The sequence below is a fragment of the Homo sapiens genome, chromosome 2 (assembly GCF_000001405.40).
Source record: "Homo sapiens chromosome 2, GRCh38.p14 Primary Assembly".
Lineage (NCBI taxonomy): Eukaryota > Metazoa > Chordata > Mammalia > Primates > Hominidae > Homo > Homo sapiens.
In genome coordinates, this window is record NC_000002.12 from 207,207,700 (window position 1) to 207,231,655 (window position 23,956).

The window sequence follows — 23,956 nt, forward strand, 5'->3', positions numbered from 1 at the left end:
TTTAAAGAACTCTGTTAAAGTGATAGTGAAATTTACCATTTCATCACTGTCACAGTTCATATTATTTTTCCACTTCATCTCCATCTCATCTCCATCATCTAGACATACACACATTTTAAGGCCTATGTCAAACTTAGCACCCTTTAGAAATGTCTTCTTGACACTTCAACCTGAACTACACTCCGTTCGCCACCAAACCCTGTAGTTTATACCTATTTCCTATGTCATTTATGTTACAAATCACACACTGCCAAACTTAAACTCCTTATTTCATGTATATGTTTTATTTTTGTAATTGAGGATGTTCTTTGGTTCCAAGCCAAGGAACCACCTTATGAGTGAAATTGCCTCAGAAGAAAGCCTTTTCATTCTTCAGTAACTACCTTCTTTTGGATGCAGTCCAAAATGTACACATCTTAAATGATACCTAGATTGACAACTTTTGGAAGATGGTGATTTTTAAACAATGAGAGCTTGGACCCAGAAAGGAATGAGAAAACAGCATCCCTGATGCTGGCTTGGTTGTAGCTGAAGTGAAGCCAATGGTATCTTAGATAGAGGCTCTTATTCAGTGCAGAGGAGGGGTCTTCCCCCAGATGCTTGAGGCAGGTACCTGGAAAGAGGGAAAGGGTTCCTTGGGCTACAGCTATATGTCAATGGATGGAGATAGAATCCTCGTCTCATGGGGCAGAGACCAAGGAGCCATAGACCACCCACCTGTGGAGGGATTCAGAGGAGGGAACCCATCCCAGATAACATCCATAGGTCTCCCATAGCATTCCTGTTTCTGACCATGGAATTCATACCACAAAGCCTGCTGTTTGAAAGGAGCTGTTTTATATACAAACAATCATAATAAATAAGAAATAAATAAGGTGCCAGTGTGTGAATGGATTCTACTTCACAAGGAGATAAATTGTCCTCACCCTCAGTGTCCTTCCATCCTTACTAAGCCAGCCAACTGTTTCTCCCAGCCAAATTGAACCACAAAGTGTTGGTCCTGATTCATTTGACAAGTATAAAGTCAAGTTTCTCATTCCCAGAAGCCAGTAATGGTTGAGCCCAGAGTACCAGAGGGTGAGCAAAATCAAAATCATGGGTGTATAGGCAGGTCAGTACCGGAAACTGGGAGAAAGTGTCAGGTGGCTCTCAGAAACTGTGTCACGATACAGGGTGGTCACGGGGAGATACAGATGCCAAATATCAAGAATTAAGTACCATAACCAGAAGAAAGGAGCAAGCTAATGACAGGCAAAGGTTTTGGGATTATCACCATCTTCATTACCATCTTCACGATCATCATCATTATCATTGGTTTAAAGCCCCTTCTCTGGACCCCTTTGCCCTAGATATGTTTTAGAATTCAGAATTTTGGGACTTCAAGTACACTAATTAAATCTGTCTTAATGCATTAATATCTCTGCAGCAAATTATGCTAAGTGGAGTTAGAGCCATTAAATAGCTTCTCATTGGTTCAAGTCAGGCTTTGCCACTGAATAAATTTTGACACCAACTTACAAACAAATGAAACAATTTTGTTATTTCAAATTTGGGGCATTTTAGAATTACAAATGAGGGACTATGGACTAAGAAAAGACTTATGAAGTGCCAGGCACTGTGTGAGGGCCTCCACATACCTGTTTGATTAAACCTTGGACAACAGGCATCATCTCTACTATGAAATGAGGAAACTAAGACCCCTGGAAGTTAACAGCTTTCTCACAGCCATCTGATAACTTGATTATAACCTGCAAACCACAAGTATAGGAAGGTGTAGGATTTGGCCATACAAGAATCAATGAAACCAAAAGTTTGTACTTTGAAAGGATAAACAAGATTGATAGACCACTAGCTAGATTACAAAAAAAAAAAAAAGACAGACGATCCAAATAAGCACAATCACAAATGACAAAGGTGACATTACAACCAATCCCACAGAAATACAAAAGATCCACAAAGACAATTATGAATACCTCTGTGCACACAAGCTAAACAGCTAGAGAAAATGGGTAAATTCCTAGAAACATAGTCTCCTAAGATTGAATCAGGAAGAAATCAAAACCCTGAGCAGACCAATATCGAGTTCCAAAATTGAACCAATAATTAAAAAACCGACCAACCAAAAAAAAAAAAGCCCCGGACCAGATGGCTCCACAGCCAAATTCTACCAGTCATACAAAGAAAAGATGGTACCAATTATACTGTAACTATTCCAACAAATCAAGGAGGAAGGACTCCTCCCTAACTCATTCTATGAAGCCAGCATCACCCTGATACCAAAACTTGGCAAAGACACAATGAAAAAAGAAAACTACAAGCCAATATCTCAGATGAACATATGCAAAAATCCTCAACAAAATACTAGCAAACTGAATCCAGCATTGCATCAAAAAGTCAATTCACCTTGATCAGGTAGGCTTCATTCCTAGGATACAAGCTTGGTTCAACATACACAAATCAATAAATGTGATTCACCACATAAACATAATTCAAAACAAAAATCACATGATCGTCTCAATAAATGTGGAAAAAGCTTTTTATAAAATACAATATCCTTTCATGATAAAAACCTTCAAGTAAGTAGGCACTGAAGTAACGTACCTCAAAATAATAACAGCCACTATGAAAATTCCAGAGCCAACATCATACTAAACAGGCCAAAACTGGAATGATTTCCCTTGAGAAATGGAACAAGACAAGGATGCCCACTCTCACCACTCCTATTCTACACAGTACTGGAAGTTCTTGCCAGAACTATCAGGCAAGAGAAAGAAATAAAAGCCATCAAAATAGGTAAAGAAGAACTACCTCTCTTTATTGACAATATGATTCTATACCTAGAAGACCCTAAATACTCCACCAAAAAGCTCCTGGAGCTAATCAATGACTTCAGTAAAGTTTCAATGCCTAGGTACATATATAACTAAAGAGGTGAAAGATCTCTACTAGTAGAACTGCAAAATACTGCTGGAAGAAATTATAGGTGACATCATACAACAAATGGAATAACATTCCATGCTCATGGATTAGAAGAATCAATATCATTAAAATGGCCATACTTCCCAAAGCAATCTACAGATTCAGTGCTATTCCTATCAAGCTACCAGCATCGTTTTTCACAGAATTATAAAAAAACTATTCTAAAATTCATATGGAAACAAAAAAGAGTCCAAATAGCCAAAACAATCCTAAGCAAAAAGAACAAAGCCAGAGACACCACATTACCTGACTTCAAACTACCCTATAAGGCTACAGTAACCAAAACAGTATAGTATTGGTACAAAAACAGACACATAGACCAATGGCAGAGAATAGAGAACCCAGAAATAAAGCTGCACACCTATAGCCATCTGATCTTTGACAAAGTTGACAAAAATAAACAATGAGTAAAAGATCCCCTGTTCAATAAATGGTGCTGGGATATCTGACTAGCCATATGCAGAAGAATGAAGTTTTTGTACCCCTACCTTTCACCATATACAAAAATGAACGGAAAATGAGCTAAAGATTTAAATCTAAGACCTTAAACTATATGAATCCTAGAAGAAAACCTAGGAGACACCATTCTGGACATTGGCCTTGGGAAATAATATATGACAAAGTCCTTAAAAGTAATTGCAATGAAAATAAAAATTGACAAGTGAGACCTAATTAAACTAAAGAGCTTCTGCACAGCAAAAGAAACTATTAACAGAGTAAACAGACAACTTACAGAATGGGAGGAAATATATGCAAACTATGCATTGACAAAGTCAAGAACCCCATTTAAAAAATGGGCAAAAGACTTGAGCAGATATTTCTCAAAAGAAGACATACAAGTGGCCAAGAAACATGAAAAAATGCTCAACATTGCTAATCATCAGAGAAATGTAAATCAAAACCACAATGAGATATCATTTCACACCAGTCAGAATGGCTATCCTAAACATGTCAAAAAACACCAGGCCAGGTGCAGGCTGTAAACCCACCACTTTGGGAGGCTGACGTGGGAGGATGGCTTGAAACCAGGAGTTTGAGATCAGCCTGGGCAACATAGTAAGATCCTGTCTCTACAAAAATAAAAAAATAAAAACAAAAACAGATGCTGCGAGGCTGCAGAAAAAAGGGAATGCTTTTAAGTGTTGGTGGGAATGTAAATTAGTTCAGCCACTGTAGAAAGCAGTTTGGAGATTTCTCAAAGAACTTAAAACAGAACTACCATTTGGCCCAGCAATCCCATTGCTGAGTATATATCCAAAAGAAAATAAATTGTTCTACCAAAAAGACACATGTACTCTTATATTTATTGCAGCACTATTCACAGTAGCAAAGATGTGGGATCAATCTAGGTGCCCATCAATGGTGGACTGGTTAAAGAAAATGTTGTACATATATAATTCATGGAATACTATGCAGCCATAAAGAAGAATGAAATCATGTCCTTTGCAGCAACTTGGATGTAGCTGGAGGCCATAATCCTAAGCAAGTTAACACAGGAACAGAAAATCAAATACCACATGTTCTCACTTATAAGTGGGAGCTAAAGAGTGAGTACTGTTTAAATGGTTCTGAATGGTTCCTGGTTACAGTTGTGAGGATTACAGAAGCGAGGGTGTCAAGGAGATGGTCCAAGGAGCTCAGTGAGTACATAAAGAAGGCAACAATAAACACTGGGGATTACTAGAGGGGAGAGGAAAGGGAGAAAAGGTTGAAAAATGAACTATTGGGTACCATGCTCAGTACCTGGGTGTTGGGATCAATTGTACCCTAAACCTCAGCATTACACAATGTATCCAGGAAACAAATCTCCATATGTACCCCCAAATCTAAAATAAAAGTTGAAATTGTTTTAAAAATATAAAATACAAAATAAAAATTAGCTGCGTATGGTGACAACTCCCTGTAGTCTCAGCTACTCAGGAGGCTAAAGTGGGAGGATCCCTTGAGCCCAGGAGGTTGCAGTGAGCTATGATTGCATAGCTCACTCTGGCCTGGTGATAGAGTGAGGCCCTGTCTAAAAAAGAGAGAGAGAGAATTATAAGCGAAGCCATGGACAGTTGGCAGGGAACCTAGATTTCTAAGAAAATTTCAATTTGATATGGATCTAATTTAACTATATTCTGGAGTCTATATTCATCTTATATTGCTGTTTTATTGAATACTCCCTTGATGAGTTTGGCTTGTATTGGAGTAAATTGGGCCCCTTACTCTGATATTGATCATTCACACCAATGACTCATTTTTCTTCTAATGACCAATTGACCAATTTAGGGAGTATATCTAAGTTTATTTTAAAAGTTATTTTGATTCCACAATATCACTAGCAATTACCTGGACCTGTGGTATCATGAGATCTGCAAGAGATAATATTATCTTTAAAAACTAGTTTTTTATTTAAAAAAAAAAAAAAAAACAGTACGAGTGAAGAAGAAAAAGAGATCATGTTATCCTCCCTTTGGTCTGTAGATCATACTTATGCGTAACTACAGAAGTAAAATCAGACATGACTACCCAGTGATGTAGGGGACAGCCTTCCCAACAAACATCTGTGTCCCTGGACATTGGCCCTGATCTTTCATCTGATACTCCCACCTGCAGCCACTCTCTAGGCAGGGTGCAGTTCCAAATTAGAAGCTCTTCTCTGTGGAGTTGTTAGGTCAGCGGCATTGGCTCCCACTCCCAGCACATCCTCCATTGTGCCTCTCATCCAGTCATTCTGTCATGATGACCAAGTGAGCTGGAACCATTTGGGAGGGACAAGAGAGCAGATAGAGGGGAAGCAGAAACCACCCACCTTCCCTACTTTTTCCCATGTGCCACCTTTTCTGAGCTCCTTGGACCATCTCCTTGACACCCTCGCTTCTGTAATCCTCACAACTGTAACCAGGAACCATTCAGAACCATTTAAACAGCAGTGATTCCTTGAGGATTTATCATCCAGAAACTTCTCCAAGTTCCAGGTGCCCAAACTCCCTCTCTCAAGTAGACAGACCCTTTTGGGAAATAAATAATATTCTTTGGCATTTGTTTTCCTCAAGCGTTGGTTTTCCAGAACATAGTTAAGTCACTTGCCACATTTATTTCCCTCTGGACTTTGGTGCCCTGGGAAATAAGGTGGTTTTTCATATTGAACCTGCTAAAATGCAGTTTGGAGCAAGTGAAGTGTAGTTAGGCTGGGAGAAGAAGGAGGAGTTCTCTAGCTAATGCATGTGAGGATTTTTACTTGACTCCTATTAATACTAATGCACAGGGATCTGCCAAAATCCCTGTACACAGAGATGAAAATATATGCTTTGGTGTAGAGATTTCCTGTTACACTGTTGATAATTCATTGTATGATGTGATCAACTTATACTATAAAAATGGCACTTATACATCACACTTTGAAGATGCTTTTTATTGACTTAATGTGAATATTATTGCCATCGTTTATTATAGAGAAGTATCTTGTAGTAATTGAAATACAACATGGTGTCATTAATCATTCTGAATACAAAATGTTAACTTTAAACTGGTCACACTGTATTAAATGCTCCTCTAACCATAAAGCAATTTGATTTGCAAGCCTGTAAAAAGCTGGATATTTGGGATGTCGTGTAACTAGCACTTACAACACATATCTGTATTAGATTTTTCAGCAGTTTGCTTTAACTGAAATCATATTGTTTTGTTTGGGTAGATCTTCTCTTTCAATGTGTATTTACTAAATAAAATGATTGTCTGAAGTCATTTTCACACAACCAGAGAGTAGGACTGTTTTCCTCATCTCTGTGTTGACTTTGAAAACTATTTTTAACTATCTTACCCATATTTCCAATATTTATCTTAATTAAAGATAAACTGGTATCCTAAATAAAGTGGTACTGTCAGACCAAAAAAAAAAGAAAACCCACTGAAAATGAGATGAAGGGCTGATGACAGCTTTCTGCCCACACGTCATTCTGTTCTGTGCTGTTCCAGAAGTCCCAGTTGTTATCAAGTAGAGACTGAGATTTTATAGGTCAAATTATTTTGGGGTCTTGTGTTTCTTCTCATGCAGCTGAATATGACTAATTACAAAAATCGCTTCTAACTTGCAAACCACAGGTACAGATAGAAAATTTTCTTTTCTCTATTTGGGCTGAGAGATATACGAAAGAAGAGTTATTCAGTTTGGGATATAATACTAACCATGTAGTGAAGAAAAATTTAAGTCTATCTTTAATCCATCTTTTATATCAGAAAATAATTCTTGGGCATATGACAGTTTATCTACATTCTTACATAGTTCAACTTTAAGAAGCTGCTTTCTTTATCTCAGTCATTTATAAAAATAACGCACTGGGTGGTATTTTCATATTTAAAACATTTATGCAATAATTTCACTTTTGTTAAAATAGTCTCCTTTTTGACTATAGAAGTAATACATGCTCATAACAGATAATCCTTAAAACACAAAGAAGAAATTAAGTCAACCATAATGCCTCAAGGCAATATTTTCAAAGGCTCACGTAACCATTTTAAATGATGCAGGGAAGTTTAAAACACTCATTGGAGACATTTCCTTTTCTTTTCATTTGGGATAAACTGATTAGCAATTTAGAACCCTTGATGTGATAGGTAACACAGTGATTCTATGTCATTTCAAATTCAACTTTTGTCAGTAGCATTTCTCTTCATAAGCACATTTATTTTTGCCCATTTTGCAAAGAAATTAAAATGAAAATGTATGAAGAGTCCCAGAAGGTAGTCTCTTTTGAAAAGCTGTTTACTTGCCTTGGGCATGGTTTGGGAGGGTAAAGGTCAAGGATGGGTCACAAGAGAGCCCCACAGGCTGTCCATTCAGACACGCTCAATACTCTTTCATCTCTTTCTGTTTTTGTTGACACCAGCTGTGCCTACCTTAATCCTCCCTGTGAGTTTACATCTTTTTTCTTAATAATCTATAAGCAAACCATAGAAAAGGGGCATGTGCTGACTAGAAAGTAATGGTTGGGGAGCAGGCGATGGAAAGAAAAGGCAAAGGAAAAAGAAGTGTAATGGGGAACAAATTCCTTTTATAAATGTCAGAAAACCAACAGTGGATTTGACAAGATTTGATTTGACTCAGAGCATCAGCGGAAGCTGTAATTCTTAAACATTATCCAACACCTGAAACAAAGGAATAATAATATGCTACATTTCTTACAAGAATCTCAAAATGCTTTCCACAAATAATCTTTTTTGAAAAGTATAATAGGCGACAAGTACATTTCATGATTTTGAAGATTTTGACAATCAGAAATGTTCAATACAACTAGCATTATAGATGATATGTAATGCTTGTATTTTGCATGTATGTTTCTAATAAGTAACACTACCTAAGTGAGATGCTATCCCTTAGTCACCCCCTTTCCTAAAACATAAAGATGGGGGTGAAGTGAGGTCTTAATGGATTTCTGAAACTCTCAGTGTGTGAAGAAAGGGAAGCAGGTGGTAGAAGGAAAATCAGTGCACCTTAGTCAAATTTATTGGCCAAAAAGAATATGAAAATGCATTGATTAGATAAGAGAGAAAGATTTTAGAAAGAAAAACAAGAACAATGAAAGTCCTGGAAATACACTGTGATGGCTACTATCTGCAAAATCCAATTAAGAACATGTTAATTGTTTGATGTTTATATTGCTACACTCATTGTTTGACAATGCCCAATTGTGACCCCACCTGTGGAGGGCCACAGGTTGGAACTGCGTGTTGACACTTACAGAAGAAGTGGTGCTGATGCTGTGATCTATGAGGAAAAATAGGAGGCAACAAAGGAATCAAAGGCAGATAATACCTTATGAAACATCTAGGGAATTTTTAGCATATTTATTACTTTGTTTCTGTTGAAAAGGAAAAAAAAATCTAATATGAACCACAAACGTGGGGGTGGAGTGGGAAAAGGAAGGAAGGAAGGGTCATCTCTTCAGAGAGATGGGAGCCCAGGCTGGATGTGATGGGTAAGGCTGAGATGCTAAGTGCCCTGCAGTAACCCGTGGCAACAGCCATTCCCAGAACAGCTGTCAAGCAGTGACTTAAATGGATGACCCAAGTGCTGGGTTTGTTTTTATTTGGTTGCTTGTTTTTTAACCCTGATGTATGGCTTTGAACACCTAGGGACTCTCTTTTGGAAGAAACAAGCTGGCAAATATTTGAGGTTCAGAATACATCTTTTCTTAAATACCCAAGGGAAACAACTTCACTGCCATGAACACCAAAGAACTGGTAAATATATTACCCTTAAAAGCCCAATTCCAAAATTTAGTGCATGCCTTGTACAAATTACTGTCATTCTAATTAATGCTTTCTGCTGGTTTTAAGAAAATAGTCCCACAAATGGAATTTCTTTCCTCCTATCCTATCGGAGTCAGAATACCCGGATCCAAACCCTAACTCTTCCACCATTCATTAGTGTGTAATGTAAGGCAACACTCCACACTTAGTTTATACTTCTACAAAATGAGGGTAACAATAGGACTTACCTCCTCACAATGCTTTGAGAACTAAATCAGTCGGCTCAGGTAAAGCATTTAGCACAGTGCATGGCGCATCATTAATGTCCAGAAAAAAGTTAGCTAGCCATTATTACTGTATTTTAGTAAATATAAAATGCTATCGATTGTATGATACATCATTATTTTATGTATCACTAAGAAAAATTTATGCCAATCAACTATAACACAATGCTTTCTTACTGGCAGTTTCTTATTTTATGCTTTGGTGAAAGTTCTTTTAAACTTACTACATATGTATTTTTTAATCATATATTATTCTTGTGTATACATTAAAAAAGAAATATCAGTTAAATAATTTATTCCTAAAACTTGTTAGAATTAGAGCCTGATTCTACTGATTTTTTTTTTTTTTTTTTTTGAGGTATCAAAGCTCTGTACCAAAACCACCAGGGAAAACTGCTGATCACAGAAAAACTGGGTTTATTAAACTTGCTGAGCAAAAGAAAGCACCACCTTAAGAGTTTCAGTATTCTCAAAAGGCGAGTCAGGGAAAGGTACTGCTCATGTTCCATGAGGTGTAGGGGTTGTCACAAGGTGATCTGGGGCAGAAATTATTAAGTCGGTGCAAAAGTAATTGGGGTTTTTGCAATAACTGCAAAAACCCCAATTACTTTTGCACCAACCTGGTAGTAAGTGAGAGCTGGGCAGGGATAGGTTGAAATTTGTAATGAGAAGTCAGTGGTCTTATCTTGGAACATATTAGTCTTAACCAGCTGGTATCAAAACCCCTTATGTTTAGTTTGCTATGCATGTCATGGTTTGTACAGTTTATCTGACCCATTGCCATCAACATCCACATTTTTCCACCCAACATCATGCTCTGTGCCATTAAGAGCATTGTTGATGCCCTGCTTCCATTGCCTACAGTTTTCCTTTGCAGTAGCTGGCTCCCATTTTGAAAGTTTCAACGTCCATGTGTGGTACATCATGACTGCTGCTTGGCTGATGGTGATTTTGATATGCCTCATGATTTCAGAATTGACAGAATGTGAAAAAATTGTGCAATTTAGAATCAATAAAATAGAGTAATAATTTGATAACAATAAAGTCTAATTCTCATCTCGGAGAGTAGAACCAATCAAATGTTTAAACTCCCATTAGAGAAGTAGTTAATTCTGGGAGATAAGTAAAAAAAGTATCATAAAACTACAGTGCAAAAATATTTACCCCCTTGTAGACAGATCCTGACGACCCCTCTTCAAACCTAAAGGGCAGTTTTTATTGTTTGTTTTGCTCTGATCCTTATAATTGTAGCATTAATTTTATTTCCTCAACTTAACAATTAACTACTTTTTCAAGTCTTTTTCTACTGGGAAAGTATCTTGTTCCCAAAGAAATAATCTAAACCATGTAAAGAGACAAAGCCTGAAGTGTTTTGCCTGTAGAATTGCTGTGCCACGGGATGAAATTAGAAAGGATTAAGATACTCAAAGGTACATTTTTAATTGGATTTTTTAATTGGATGGATTTGAACTTGGCTCCATTGTAACTTGCCCAATAAGCATAATGGTAGCTCCCAAGAAGTCAAGTCCAGCAGCAATCAGGACTGTGACTTTTGGACTCACTGATTTCCCAGAAATGGTGTGTGTGCCTATTCACATACTGTGTGGGGATGCGGAGGGAGAGAACCGAAAATCTATTTATATTGTTAATATTATGCTTTCCTCTGAAAGATTACCCAAAATGTCAGGCTTACAGATAATGGCCACATTGCCTTATGACTAGAATGGGTGAAGGAAGAAATTTCATATATTACCAGGCAAATGAAGAGTTTTAGAAGCCCCATACGGTGAACAGATGTTAGGGCTCCATTCCCTCTTGTGCCTGATAGTAATTCAAATTAAAATAATACTAAGTCAGAAAATGAGCTTTTATTTCTCCAACAACATTCTGATTTCTCCATGACTATTTTGACACTTTTTTTTTTGAGATATGAAAAATCTTGTTTCTTCTTTTTGAACAAAAGAAATGTCAGCCACCTGGCATTGCTAATGTCCTGAACATATGCTTTGTCTGCCTGCTGGGTAATCCACACTGGGTGGCATCTTGGTTTGCTTCTGGATCAGGAAATGCTCTCAGCTTTAGGCTGTGCAGAATGGAGACATTTGAATAAAATCATGAACGTTTTTTGTGTTCATTTGTGAGCAAAATCCCTCCCGTACCCCTTCCCTAACCCAGCATCAAATGGGTTGTTTCTCAAAGTACAATTCAGATTTTCTTTACTGCAGATTATTCACTCTGCTGGGTTTCTTTATCTGAAATTATCCTGGGGAACCTTTGTGTTTGAAGCTCAAAATGATATGAAAAGTCAAGTTAAAAAAAAAAAAAGGCAAACCTAAAAGCCGAAGGCGTGTGTTGGAAGCAGGAAAATCATTCCTTGAACTCCCCAGGAGTTGATCAAAGAGACAGCCATAAATTGCAACAAAGGCAGAGATCTACTCTGCTCTGAAAGCCAGCCAGAAACACTGGAAATGTTTCATTATTTATTTCATTAATTCTGTGATAGCAATCTCTACTGACAAGATTTGCAAATCTAATCATTTATTAATGAAACGTGTCTAGTAGATTGTGCCAAAGATCTTCCTGAGGTCCCAGCCTCTGAATGGCGGCAGCCCTTTGCGAACTACCAGCTTGCTCTCTTGCCACAATGTCACACGGAGGTTTCCAGGATCCTCACTAGAGGTATGTCTCTCCCTCTGAGCTCAGAGGATATTCAAAGATGGCTCCCAGGCACAGCCTGCTCTAAGGACCAGCAGGATGGCCACTTTCCAGGATGAGTATAGCAAACATGGTTTCTATTCAAAGAGAACATTTTCTGAGAATCACAACATGGTATGTATGGTTTTAAGTCATGGTACAGACAGGAATGGATCTTTTAAGCTGTATTTCCATTGTTCTTACTCACCTTGATGCAGATAAGGTTAACCTGACTCTTGACTAAGACATTGATTTTTTTCTGGAAATTTTTTCTGTGGTTTCAGATATTTCCAAAATCTCAGCCTGTTTCCTTGGCGACTGTCTAAGGCTTTATTCCCTATAAACCAATGTGGCATGATTCATCAGTAAACAGTGAAGCAGCAGCCACCCAACTTACAGGCTTCCTAAAGATTTCCTGGAAAGCGATCCCTGCCCTGAGCTATTTCGCAGGCTCTGTTGTTGATATTTCACAGAGCGCAGCTAAAAAAATAATAAAAGTCCTATAACCGTGTGCATGGGGAACAACAGCGTTTATGGAGCTAATGAAATGCAGAAATGAAAACCCCTCAGCAAAGCCCCTTTAGATGTGCCTAAGCTCTGTTCATTAATCTGTGATAATTAGACTTATTTGCAAAGGTTAACAGCAGTGGCACATGGTAATTAAGCACTCCTTCTCTACCAGAGGGATCGAAAATGCTTCTCATGTGACACGTTTCCAGTCTTCAGGACATTTTATGTCTACTTTATAGCTCAGGTTTCCTATAGGAGAAAGAAGTTTTCTATACAGCCATGACCACATATCACTTTCTATAGTGAGAGGTAAAATCATATTTTACTTGTAGATTCTGAACTGAGAGTAACCTAGGGTGAGAATCATCACCTCCCTCACTGACTGCTATGTGACCTTGGGCAAGTTATTGAATTCTTTTTGCCTCAGTTTCCTCATCTGTAAAATGGGGATGATAATGCCTTCTTCAGAGTGTTGTGATAATTTAACAATGACAATGATAATAGCTAACGTTCACTGAGCAATTAATATGCCATGTACTGTTCTAAGTCCCTCATATACACCCATTAAGTCTCATTTTAAAGTTGAGGAAATTCACACACAAGAGATTGAATAGCTTGCCCAAGACCAAGCTTTGGAAGCAAATAATTTAATTCACTTTAAGACATTCAAGTCCCTTGGGAGCAAACTTCCAGAAAGTGAGCACAGATTTACTGCTTTGAAGACGACATCTCCCACTTGCCTCTAGAATACAAATAATATTTACACATTGAAACAACCTTATCCTTGGCAGTAGTCATCATCTGGGCTTGGGCTAGGTATAGTGGCATATCTATGAAGGAATATTAATGAAGAATTACTGAAATACAGAAAGGAGAAGTTCCACTTTTCTTCAGTTTTAATAATTGCATTAAATGTGGTAATATATGCAGAGCTCATAGCACAATGCTCGGTGCATACTGAATGCTCAATAAATAGTAGCTATTATTATTATGATAGACATGAATGCGCAGAAAAGCTGCACAAAGGGTGCAGCTTGTCTCTAGACATACTCTAGACGCACATGTCTCTAGACATACTCAAGATTGCACTCATCCGGATTTTGATCCATTTCAGTCAAAAATAGCTAGGTAGTTTATTGTATTAAAAAGAAGGGAGGAAAAAGGGAAAGAAGGGAGGGAGGCGAGACGAAGTGAGGAAAGAATAGGAAACTTATTCTAAAAAGTAACCATACTTGCCAGTTCTTAAATCTTGGAAAGCAAGATTTAAAAGGTCATAGGTCCTAAAAAGAAGAAGGTAGTTTTGCTTGTATTTTAAGATGTTACCAGACCAAGTCAGGAAATAATAATGGGATACAATTGGCTTGCTCCAAGACAGTGCTCATTTTTAACTCATATTCCAGGAGAACCTCACTTTTATTAGTCTTGCTCTCTGTTCACATTGTGGTTGAAGCCATGCTCATGTTTCTCACAGGCAGTCTAGAGTCAGGATCTCAGCAGAGAAATGAAAGCCCAAAGCCTGAGCTTGGCTGATTTTTCATACACAGTTGGTACGTTCATTAGCAGTTCCTGACTCCTCTCTGCATGGGTGTGCAAATGGGCAGGATGGCACTTGGTTTTCAAGTCCTCTTTTTACTTTTTCTTGGGGGGTGGCAGGCGTGGGGGTGGTGCTTTTGAAAGACAAGCATTGACACTTTCCACAAAAAAAGAAAAATCCCTTGCAGCACCAAGGAAAGAATTAAAGGAGCTCTAAGCAATGATCTGGGAAGTTCCACCAGTGCTCATTCACATGGGGAATCATTCCCACGCCTTCCTGCAGCTGGGAGGAACACAAGGCAATCTCTAGTTTATTCTTGCATTTCCCGTATCTCACCTTTGTCAGTTCTGACCTGAATTTCCTCTGCAGGATCAACCTTTCCTTCAGCTTGTGGCATGCAGATACCGTTTTACGAGAGAGCATCCCTGAAACCAACACAGCTCTGTTTGCTTCAGCTTTCTTTTTGGAAGGGTGGGGAGGCTTCTAATTGGGCTAACTGGCAACAAATGGCATATTTTGGTGGAGTTTTCCATTCATATGTTAAAAGAAGACACAAGATTTAACCAAGTAATTGTTCAGGAGGAGGCACTCTGTTGCCACCATTCTGTGGTATTGAATGAACTCAACGTAGTGGAGCTTTAAAAAAAAAATGTGTAAATATCTTTAGGTTGTCCAGTTTGCAGCACCTGCAGTATTCTTTCCATTTTCCCTTCATTAATTGAACCAGACAGAATATGAGTCTGGTCTTTACCTGCCCTCTCTAACTCTTCTTCTCATTTAATAACCCTTTTACTTAAGATTTCTTTTTCCCTTAGCTTATGACAGTGGATCTGATGACGCAAAATAAGAGATCTCTGCACACTGAGCCTCAGAGATAAAGTTCAAAGTGTAATTATTGAAGTAGCTGTGTATCTTGGATTTGAATTCAGAGAAACTGAGCTTGAACGACGAAGATGGAAAGAGATAGAAAAAGATTCCTCTTGTTAAAGTAAATTAATTAGTTGGATTTATATGAGGAGACAGAAGGGAAGAAGTCAGGCTGTGTCCCATATTAATAACTCACTTGGGAGAAGCCAGATTGGATTGAAAGCAAAAGACAAAGAGGGAGGGGGCTATTGTGCTACCTTATAAAAGAAGTAGCCTCAGTTTTCCTGTCTTTGCACTCTATAACCCGTACATAGACAAACACACATCCTCATTCCTGACATGAAAATGATGTCATCTTTCTTTTTGACTCACCAACCAGACTACATTAATCCCCTGCAGCGTGTGGGCCAGCAGGAGGCTGCTTAAGGGACTTCAGGCCTGTGAATAAATGATGACCCAGTGGTTAGGGGCGGCAGCCTAGATACATTCAGGATGCATTAAAGCAATTAGCTGGAAGAGGAGTGAGAGCACAATTTCCAATCCCCAAGAAGGACCAGACCATGCTTGGAACAGGGTGAGGAACTCTACAGCCTACAGCTGGTAAGAGCCACTTAGCAAAATGGCTGCACATGAAAGGAGTTTACAGTCTCAGCCCCTTGGCCTTGTTTGATACTAGTGCCATTAAGGGGGCATTTCAGGATCATGGGAGCCATGAAGCTGATTACTTTTGCAAATCACTGCATTAGAACCAGGCTTGTCAGAGAGGTTTCCAAATCATGGTTTGTAGACTGGTGTCCCACTGGTTGAATCTGGCTCATGGCTGCTTTTTGCCTGGCCAGACCATCTACGTTGGGCCAATATTTTAAAAAATTAAGAGATTTCACAAAAATATGAATTTCTAGATTATCTCAAAAACCCAGCCCTGTGTGACACCAATCTGCTGAAGCTGAGTTCTAGTTTTTCTCTTGAACTGGCTGTATGCTCTCCACTTAGCCCCCATCCCTACTGCTTCCCATTACCTTACTCCCATCCCACTTCACTCATTTTCTTCAGTCATTGACATCTACCTGGGCCTCTGTAGGTATCTGAGTTTGTGACCTCTCTCTTTTTTTTTTTTTTTTTTTTTTTGAGACAGAGTCTTGCTCTGTCCCCAGGCTGGAGTGCAGTGGTGCGATCTTGGCTCACTGCAAGCTCCGCCTCCCAGGTTCAAGCGATTCTCCTGCCTCAGCCTCCCGAGTAGCTGGGACTACAGGCACACAGCACCAGGCCTGGCTAATTTTTGTATTTTTAGTAGAGACAGGGTTTCACCATGTTGGCCAGGATGGTCTCAATCTCCTGACCTCGTAATCCACCAATCTTGGCCTCCCAAAGTGCTGAGATTAAAGGCATGAGCCACCGTACCCGGCCGTGACCTGTACTTTAAATGGCTTCTGAGTTAGATTCAACCAGAAACATAAGGTTGCATTCTAGAACCGCCAAGCACATTTTGTGCATGGATACATCTCAGTTCCTGCATCTGAAAGGTTTACCACTAGCCTTGCATGGCAGCCTGCTGTAAACATGGCCACAACTCTTTGTGAGGCTTCCACCCTCACAAATGCAGAGATGCAGCACTGGAATATACACACTCCACTATTTCAACCTGGTCAGGGATGATGGCCATGGAGTAGTTATTAGAACAAAGGAGTAGTCTGAACATGAATTTCAATCCAACAGATTTGGGCAGTGTTGATGCCCACCAGAATAAGAACAGCCAAGAATGTCACAAGCTAAACAAAATGCCAGCCAAAGCAGCCTGAGATCCAGAAACTGCTTGGCATATTTTGTGATACTCACTTCACAGTGGGATGAGAGGCGAGAAATAGCCTCTAATATACAAGAACAACCTAGCCAAGGTCCACAGTTCTGATTTCTCTTAATATGTACTAGAATCTTTCTATGATGTTCCCTGCCTCTTTAAATCAATAGAGCTTTGTCTCTTTTTCTCTTGTTCAGATGAATTTCCAATTGGAAATGTCATTTAAAGACAAAGAAAGAGCTCTGATGACTTAAGGAAACCAAATCACGCCTCTTCTATGAAACTTCCTCCTCCTTCCTGCCCTCCTCCAAACCCTTAGATGCTTTTCTCACTTCTTGCTTTTAATCTTTCCTCTCCTCCTGCCCAATCACTTAGCGTAAATGGGATGGAAGTGCTAAGTGGCTGCTCCCTCCCTCCTCTCAGCTGTACCACATTTGGGTGCTCCTAAAAGGCATCTCCCAGGCTGCTGTTGGCACCAAAGTCCTATGTTCGCAACCCTTTGCTTAAAACTAAAAGACAAAGCATGTGTTTAAAAGATGGCTGAGACACATGTGTGACTACTCTGCCCCCAAAGAGACTATAGCAGTAAAAAGTACCTGGTACAGGGTCAGAAAATGAATAATTCAAACTTTCCTCACATGCTGAATTAACCTTGACTTATTTCATGCCTCCCCGCCCCCATCACACCGATTTTGCTTCTCTCTGGGCTGGAGTGGGCTGGAGTCATTCAGGTGTACATTTTAATCCCTCCTGGAAACTTCTGCTCTATTTGAATCACAGAAAGTGAGAGCGATTGAATAAGTGTGAGCTCACTGCCCTGCAGGAAGGGGTGTCGTGTGGAAGCCCACAGTGACCAGTGCTTGGGGCTTTAGCCACACCCGTGTAAAATGACCAGGGATGTCCTTTCACTAATATTGCCGGCCAGAGGCTAAGGTGACTTGGGATTTAGGAAATGTCCCTCTTTTCACAACACTCATTTTTCTTTAAAAAGTCTTTTTCCCAATTTCCTTATATTACCCCCAATAATAAAAACTGCCTCCTTCATTGCACCAAGAAAATAAAAACTCTTTTCTGACCCAGCTCTTGGAAGGCAGGCAGAGTAGGCACTCTTATCTGTTTTAAAGTCATCTCATATTCCACAATACAATTACAGAATGTGGTGGTATGTTTCTCCCTTTATGTTAGGCACAAAGCCATCCAGGGGAGCAAGGTCTATGAAATAGGAAAGCCCAATTTGCACCCACATTGTTTTCGTAGGGTCTTCCCCCGACCTGCTTGGCAGGGGGCGTAGAAGCTGGTCAGAAGACACATGTACAAGACCAGCTGAAAGGGGGATGTGAACACACCTGGGTACATAGTGTGGTTTTCTTGGTTAGGCTATGAAATAAATACTGTGTGTCTTAAAGGCAACGTCTTTAAAAGAAGACGACGCACTCTGAGGTGAAAGGAAATCTGGGTTTTGCTTTAAGAAGCTTGTTCTCATTGGTAGGGCAAGGCTCATTTCTGTAAGAATGCTCTCAGCACTGTCCCATAGAACTTTCTGGAATGATGGAAATGGTCTGTCTCTGTGTTGTCCAATATGAGAGCCACTACTCACATGTGGCCATTGAATGATTAACTTTTAGCTACATAACTGAGAATCTGCATTTTTAATTTTATTGAATTTTAATTAATTTTTATTTAAACAGCCACATGTGCAAGACAAGGTGACCAGACAGATCCTATTCTCTGCTCCCTTTGTTTGTTTGCTTGTTTATTTAGAGCCAGCCCTGAGTATATCTATTCCCAGATACTCCCACCAGAAATTCTTTCAGCATTATCAACAAGGAGGAAGGAAGGGAGCAGCTTCCTGGATTGGATTCAGCTTCCTGTAGGTGCCAGGCCTGGGAAAAGTGCTTCCACATATCAAACTCATTTATCTGTGGTTGAATCCTTACAACTCTGCTCTATGTGACACTCTGTCCTCATTTTATAGCTGAGGAATCTGGAGGTGACAAATTTTGGTAAGTGAACTAAGCAGAAATGGAGTTTGAGTCTTTGCATCCAATCAGATAACCTTTCCATTACAAAGAGATGGTGTTATTCCCAATGCTATCCCCATTTCACAAAGAGGGAAAACAAGTCACTAATTACAGAACAAAGACCAGGGAGAAGTGGTAGGCACATAAGTTTGTGGTCTTTGTGGCTATGCATATCTTTCAGATTCAAGTGTATGTTGAAAGTACTCAATGAAGGAGTGTCTAATAAACTTTCATTTCTTGGTATCCAAGGTGTGGCAGGCAGGCCTGAAATGACCAATTCAAAGTCCCTCTTGTTGCTACTGAAGCATGTTTGAGACCTGCGAGGAGGAGGAGGCCTCTATCAGAGCAAAGAATTTGGAGCTGCTTCCAATCTGAAACTTCCTTAGCGTTGTAAAAAGCACCCTTCATTCGAAATCGCTCAGTGCCTGGACTCAGAGAAAGTGGGAGAGTTACCAAGGCTCGGGTACGTCTAGCACCCCTAGCCACCACGGTGCTAACCAGGAGGGTGATGAGGAGAAAGCTTTTCTCTGCTGGTAGCCATTCATGCAAGAAGTTTCCTAGAAGGTGATGTTGATTGTAATTAGAGCCTCCTCTCTGGGCGGACGAGGGGGCGGGGCGGAGGGGGGGTGGTTGTCTCAAATCCCAGTCCCGCAAATGCAGCTGGTGGCTGGGAAGCTGCCGCCTGGCATTCTCTCCAGAGAGAGTCTCAGCTGCTCTTGCTGTCTAGAATGATCACTTGGTGTAGTTTCCCAGGGTATGAGGTGGGGGGAGGGGGAAGATGGCAGCTCGGCCATGACGCGGAAGGGGGCAGTGACCGTCATGCAGGCGGCTTTTCACAGCGTGTGTCTGCCCCTGCCCGGGCAGCAGACTTCAGTTCCTCCCTGGTCCCTTGCTGGCTGTTCACTTTCTACACCAATGGGCTCTGAGGTGACAAGTTCAATTCCCAGCTCTGTCAAACCTGCATTTTCTTCCCTGACCTACTTTCCCCACTCTGCAGTGTTGGAACAATGCCTCGCTCTGTTCCCTGTTTAGACCCATCTTTTGCCTGCGCTGGTGCAGAAGCCCAGGCCTTTGCCAGGCTTTTTGCCTTGAATCCCTGACAAGTGTTGATGGGAAAATAAAAAAAGAGAAGGGGGAAAAAAATCCTTGCTATAAAACAGTCCAGCTCTCCCACAGATGCCCAGACTCCGGAGGGAGTGAAAGCTTCTCAGCAGCAAGGAAAGAAATCAAAAGGTTGTGCTTCTCCTCTCATCACCTCTCCCCTCTCCCCAGCCCCCAAGGCACAGTGAGAAGAAACTGAGGCAATGCCAAGAACACCCCGACCTCATGAGCTTCAAAGAAGCTGCTGCTGCAGTTCCCGGTTCTGAGGCACCTCCAAGACCACTCTCATCCAAACTCTCAAAACACTCCCCTTGGGTGAGCTGTCCCTTAAAAGGAACAGGGCTGGGCCTTCACAAAGGCTCCTGTGAGACTTCTACCCCCTATGGGTCTGGTAGCACCAAGGGATTTCTCATGCTATGACCACAGACATCATCAAGAGGGTAGAGAGACCAAGTGGCCAGTGAATTGGCACACATGAAGATTCTTTGTGATCTGTAAAGAAAGTGTAAAATCTGCAACAAACTGTGGAATAATCTGACATAGGAAGAGGTGGATGGTACAGAAGAACAATAAAATAATAGCCAGCCTTTATTGACTGGTTGCTTCATGCCACTACTGCTCTGTGTGCTTTTACATGTATAAAATGCGTATTTGTCATAAGACCCTTTGAAACGGCCCTACTGTCACTCCTATTTTATAGATGATGAAGCCCAGGACAGCACAAGGCTAGTGAGTGGTGCTGCACCCACGGAGTCTCTCCAGAGCCTGCACCTCTTACCCTCAGCTCGCCCTCCCCTCTGCTCCATCTTACACTCCAAGAACAGCTTGGTGGGCTGTGTCCTCCACAGCATGCCAGCAGCCCCCTCCTCCCACTCCAGCAAACCCCAGCCAAGACCACTCTGGCCCTGTTCCTCCAAGTGAACCCGAAACAACAGCCTCCTCCAGAACATCCTCCCTACTTCAGTTACTCCATTAGTTTCCTAAGATAATGTGGGCAAACATTTCTCAAATAATCCCTGTGGACAGCTGCCCATGCTGGGCACAGATAGGGCCTTCCCTGAGCTCACCCCCTCCTAGACCCTCCCAGTCTGGGGTGCACACATAGTCAGTCTGTGCAGAGAGGTGTTAAGAGGAAATCTGCTGGGGGACAGCAGGGGATGATTTTCCTCCTGGATAAAAGGAAAGAGCTCTACAAGGAACATGTTTTTTGCATCCTCTTTTCTGTTTGGCCCGCTGCCACATGAGGACACAGAGTTTAGAGTTGAAGCATCTTTTTCAAAATTATGAGAGAAATCACCTCTGAGATATTAAGGATAAAAATGTGAAAAGTCCCAGGAACTTGATGTCATTGAGCTGCTCCACCAACCCTGGAACTGCTGACTTCCAGACTTATTGTTAGATTTTTAAAAATTAATTTATATGATTAGTCTACCACCAGTTAGGATTCTGTTACTTGTAGCCCAAAGCACCTAACTGATAGAGTTACCTAAAAGCAGGCCCCGAGAAAGGGTGTGAAATGACTTCTTCTTCTCAGCGTTGGCCCTGCCTACCCCACTGCTACTCACCTGACTTACTTATCTCCTGCTCCTCTCCCCAGATGCTCCAGGAAAGGCCAACCTGGACGTCATCCTGCCTCATTTCCTGGCCCCTGCAATCACTACTCCTTCTACTGGAAAATTCCTCCCCAGTCTTCCCAAGGCTGCTTTCTTCTCTCCACTGACTTCATCTTGTCAGAGAGAAGTCCCCTGAGCACCCAACTTTGAGTGGCCACCCAGCAACTCTGTCTCAGTCACAATTTCCTTCATAGAAGTTATGACTCTATATAAATATCTTCATTGTTTGTTTAATGTCTCTGCACTTGACAGTTTGTTTGTCTTACCCAGAACATTACTTGGCTCGTAGCAAAATTCTAGACATTGGTGGGCACCAGAATCCCCTGCAGTGTTTTTTTTAGGAGTTTCAGGGGGTCCTTCTCCTCCTCTTTTTCCACCCGCTACTTCTTCTCTTCCTTCTCTCCTCCTCTTCCTTTCTCTTCTTTCTTTCCTCCTTCATCTGCTCCTCCTTCAAATCTGAGTGATGCCCTTTGTGCCTCCATTGATGGTGTAGAAGACCTATGTCCCATACTATTCTTTACAAATCGTTAGAATCACGGTTAAAGTCCAAAAGCTGAAATCTCAGTTTGATCATCTCCAGTAAGGCTTGATTTTTAGGTATCATTCTAAACGGGGATTCTGTGATGGAATGACAATGTGAGGCTGTTTCTAAGCTTCTTGTGTTCGTTTTACTGTATCGCTATGGTGGTTTTTAGTCTTTCAGACATTTTAATCTATGCTTAATTATGCTCATTCCCAGAGGTTCCTTAAAAGCAAATGGCACAATTTCTAAAAAATCAAATAAATAATACACATGAGGCCTGCTAGGACTTGATAGGAGCCCATCTGAGCAGTTGAAGGAATGGCGGCCATCAGAGGGCCTGAGAACAAGGGTTTAGAGAATCATCGCCTTCCCTTTCAGCATTCACAGCCACTCAAGACAAATCTCCGAAACCTGGGGAGATAGAGTCTTTGCCAACTCTGTGCCCTAGCCTCTCCTCTCAAATTGGAATTGAGTCTGCTAAAATGGATTGGTTTTTGTGATCACTTTACCAAGAAGGATAACTGTAATTCATCTTTCTTCCAAAGGGGGCAACATGGAGTCCATCCCGGAGCACTGGGGAAAGGGACCCAGAGGCTGTCCTGCCACTCTGCACTAACAACAAGGAACAGTGTAAGGTTGGGGCATTGATGTCCCTTTCTAGGGCACCTGGAGCTCTTTTGGCTTGCGAATGGACATCTGCTGATTTTGCCTGTCTGGGACCTGGTCACTCTCTGCCACACTTTGGATCTTCCCTTGTGGCGGGCAGTCAAAGGGACCATCAGTTAAGGTTCCACACTCTTATCTAGCCAAGAGGTTGGAATGAAGCCCAAGCTGGGTCAGTCAGATTCGCATAGGAATTTTAACCTTGAACAGGAAAAGGAAAGAAATTGAAGATGACGTGAAACACTGGTACTTCCCTAAAGAGACTATTACTTCCTGCTACTTAAATTCTCTAGTTCCAGTACTTTCTGATACTTGATTTTCAGCATTGGCTTTTGCTAAATGACTACTACATATCCTTCAATTAACTCCTCTTTTCCCTTGTGAGTTGACAGAGTAAAATCTGTAACTTACAACAAAATGACTAAATTATAGACTTCTTAAGCAATGCAGTCCAGAGTTTGACACCTGCTCCCACCACTGAGGCCTCAGAATATGTTTATGTTATATGTCCTTGACTAACTCAGGTATTAACAAAAATAATGCCCAAACAATTATCTCTCATCCCCACCCCCCAAAAAAATCTGGGTCACTTCTCCCTCTGATTTGCCATGTAATTCTCAAGTAGACAACACAAATAGCAGTTGCAGAGGCTAAGGGGAAAAAAGTGTTAAAAAAAAAAAAAACTTATCTGTCTTAAAAGTCATGAATGAAATAAAGGAAACTGTGTTCATAGCACCTGACTCACATGATTACTGTGGGTGAGCCATCAATATGTAGATAGAAAGAAAATAATTGGCATAAGCTCCTTGAAATTTCTGCCTACAGCCTCCCCAAGGAGGCCTTGGGGAGAATTCAGATAGCATTTGAACAGCCAGGGTTCAGTAATGAGAACTGACATTCTAGTGTGTAGTACAAAAGGCACTTCCCTCCCGGAACCACGAAAAGTACTTTAATCAGCCAAAACGTTGCTACTGTTAAAAAAAAAGAAAAAGAAAAAAAAGGAGGGGGAGGGGATAAAACAGCCCCCTCGTTTATTGTTTCTCCACCACTGCTATGCCCAACTCCTACTGAATGGACGAGCCCCTTTGGCATCATCTTATGCCTACCTCATTAATGCCACTTGCTCACTGCTATG

General features: G+C 40.7%; 2 long non-coding RNA genes across 2 annotated transcripts in view, besides 2 other annotated features; both read right to left on the bottom strand.

The window, feature by feature from the left end:
• MYOSLID-AS1 (MYOSLID antisense RNA 1) overlaps positions 1–23,956 on the bottom strand; it is a 67,627-nt gene that overhangs the window by 21,010 nt on the left and 22,661 nt on the right. The gene's annotated exons all lie outside the window — the stretch shown is intronic.
• LOC124907971 (uncharacterized) lies at positions 11,351–14,538 on the bottom strand. The gene is made up of 2 exons (XR_007088061.1): positions 12,400–14,538; positions 11,351–12,289 (listed from the first exon to the last, which is right to left on the bottom strand). It is a non-coding gene; the product is annotated as an uncharacterized LOC124907971 (long non-coding RNA).
• Positions 17,987–18,096: an enhancer, noted in NCBI's record as "active region_17031". NCBI's record gives its function as "activates an Ori minimal core promoter by ATAC-STARR-seq in GM12878 lymphoblastoid cells {active_cell/tissue: GM12878}" and the evidence as "EXISTENCE:reporter gene assay evidence [ECO:0000049][PMID:35858748]".
• Positions 18,217–18,326: an enhancer, noted in NCBI's record as "active region_17032". NCBI's record gives its function as "activates an Ori minimal core promoter by ATAC-STARR-seq in GM12878 lymphoblastoid cells {active_cell/tissue: GM12878}" and the evidence as "EXISTENCE:reporter gene assay evidence [ECO:0000049][PMID:35858748]".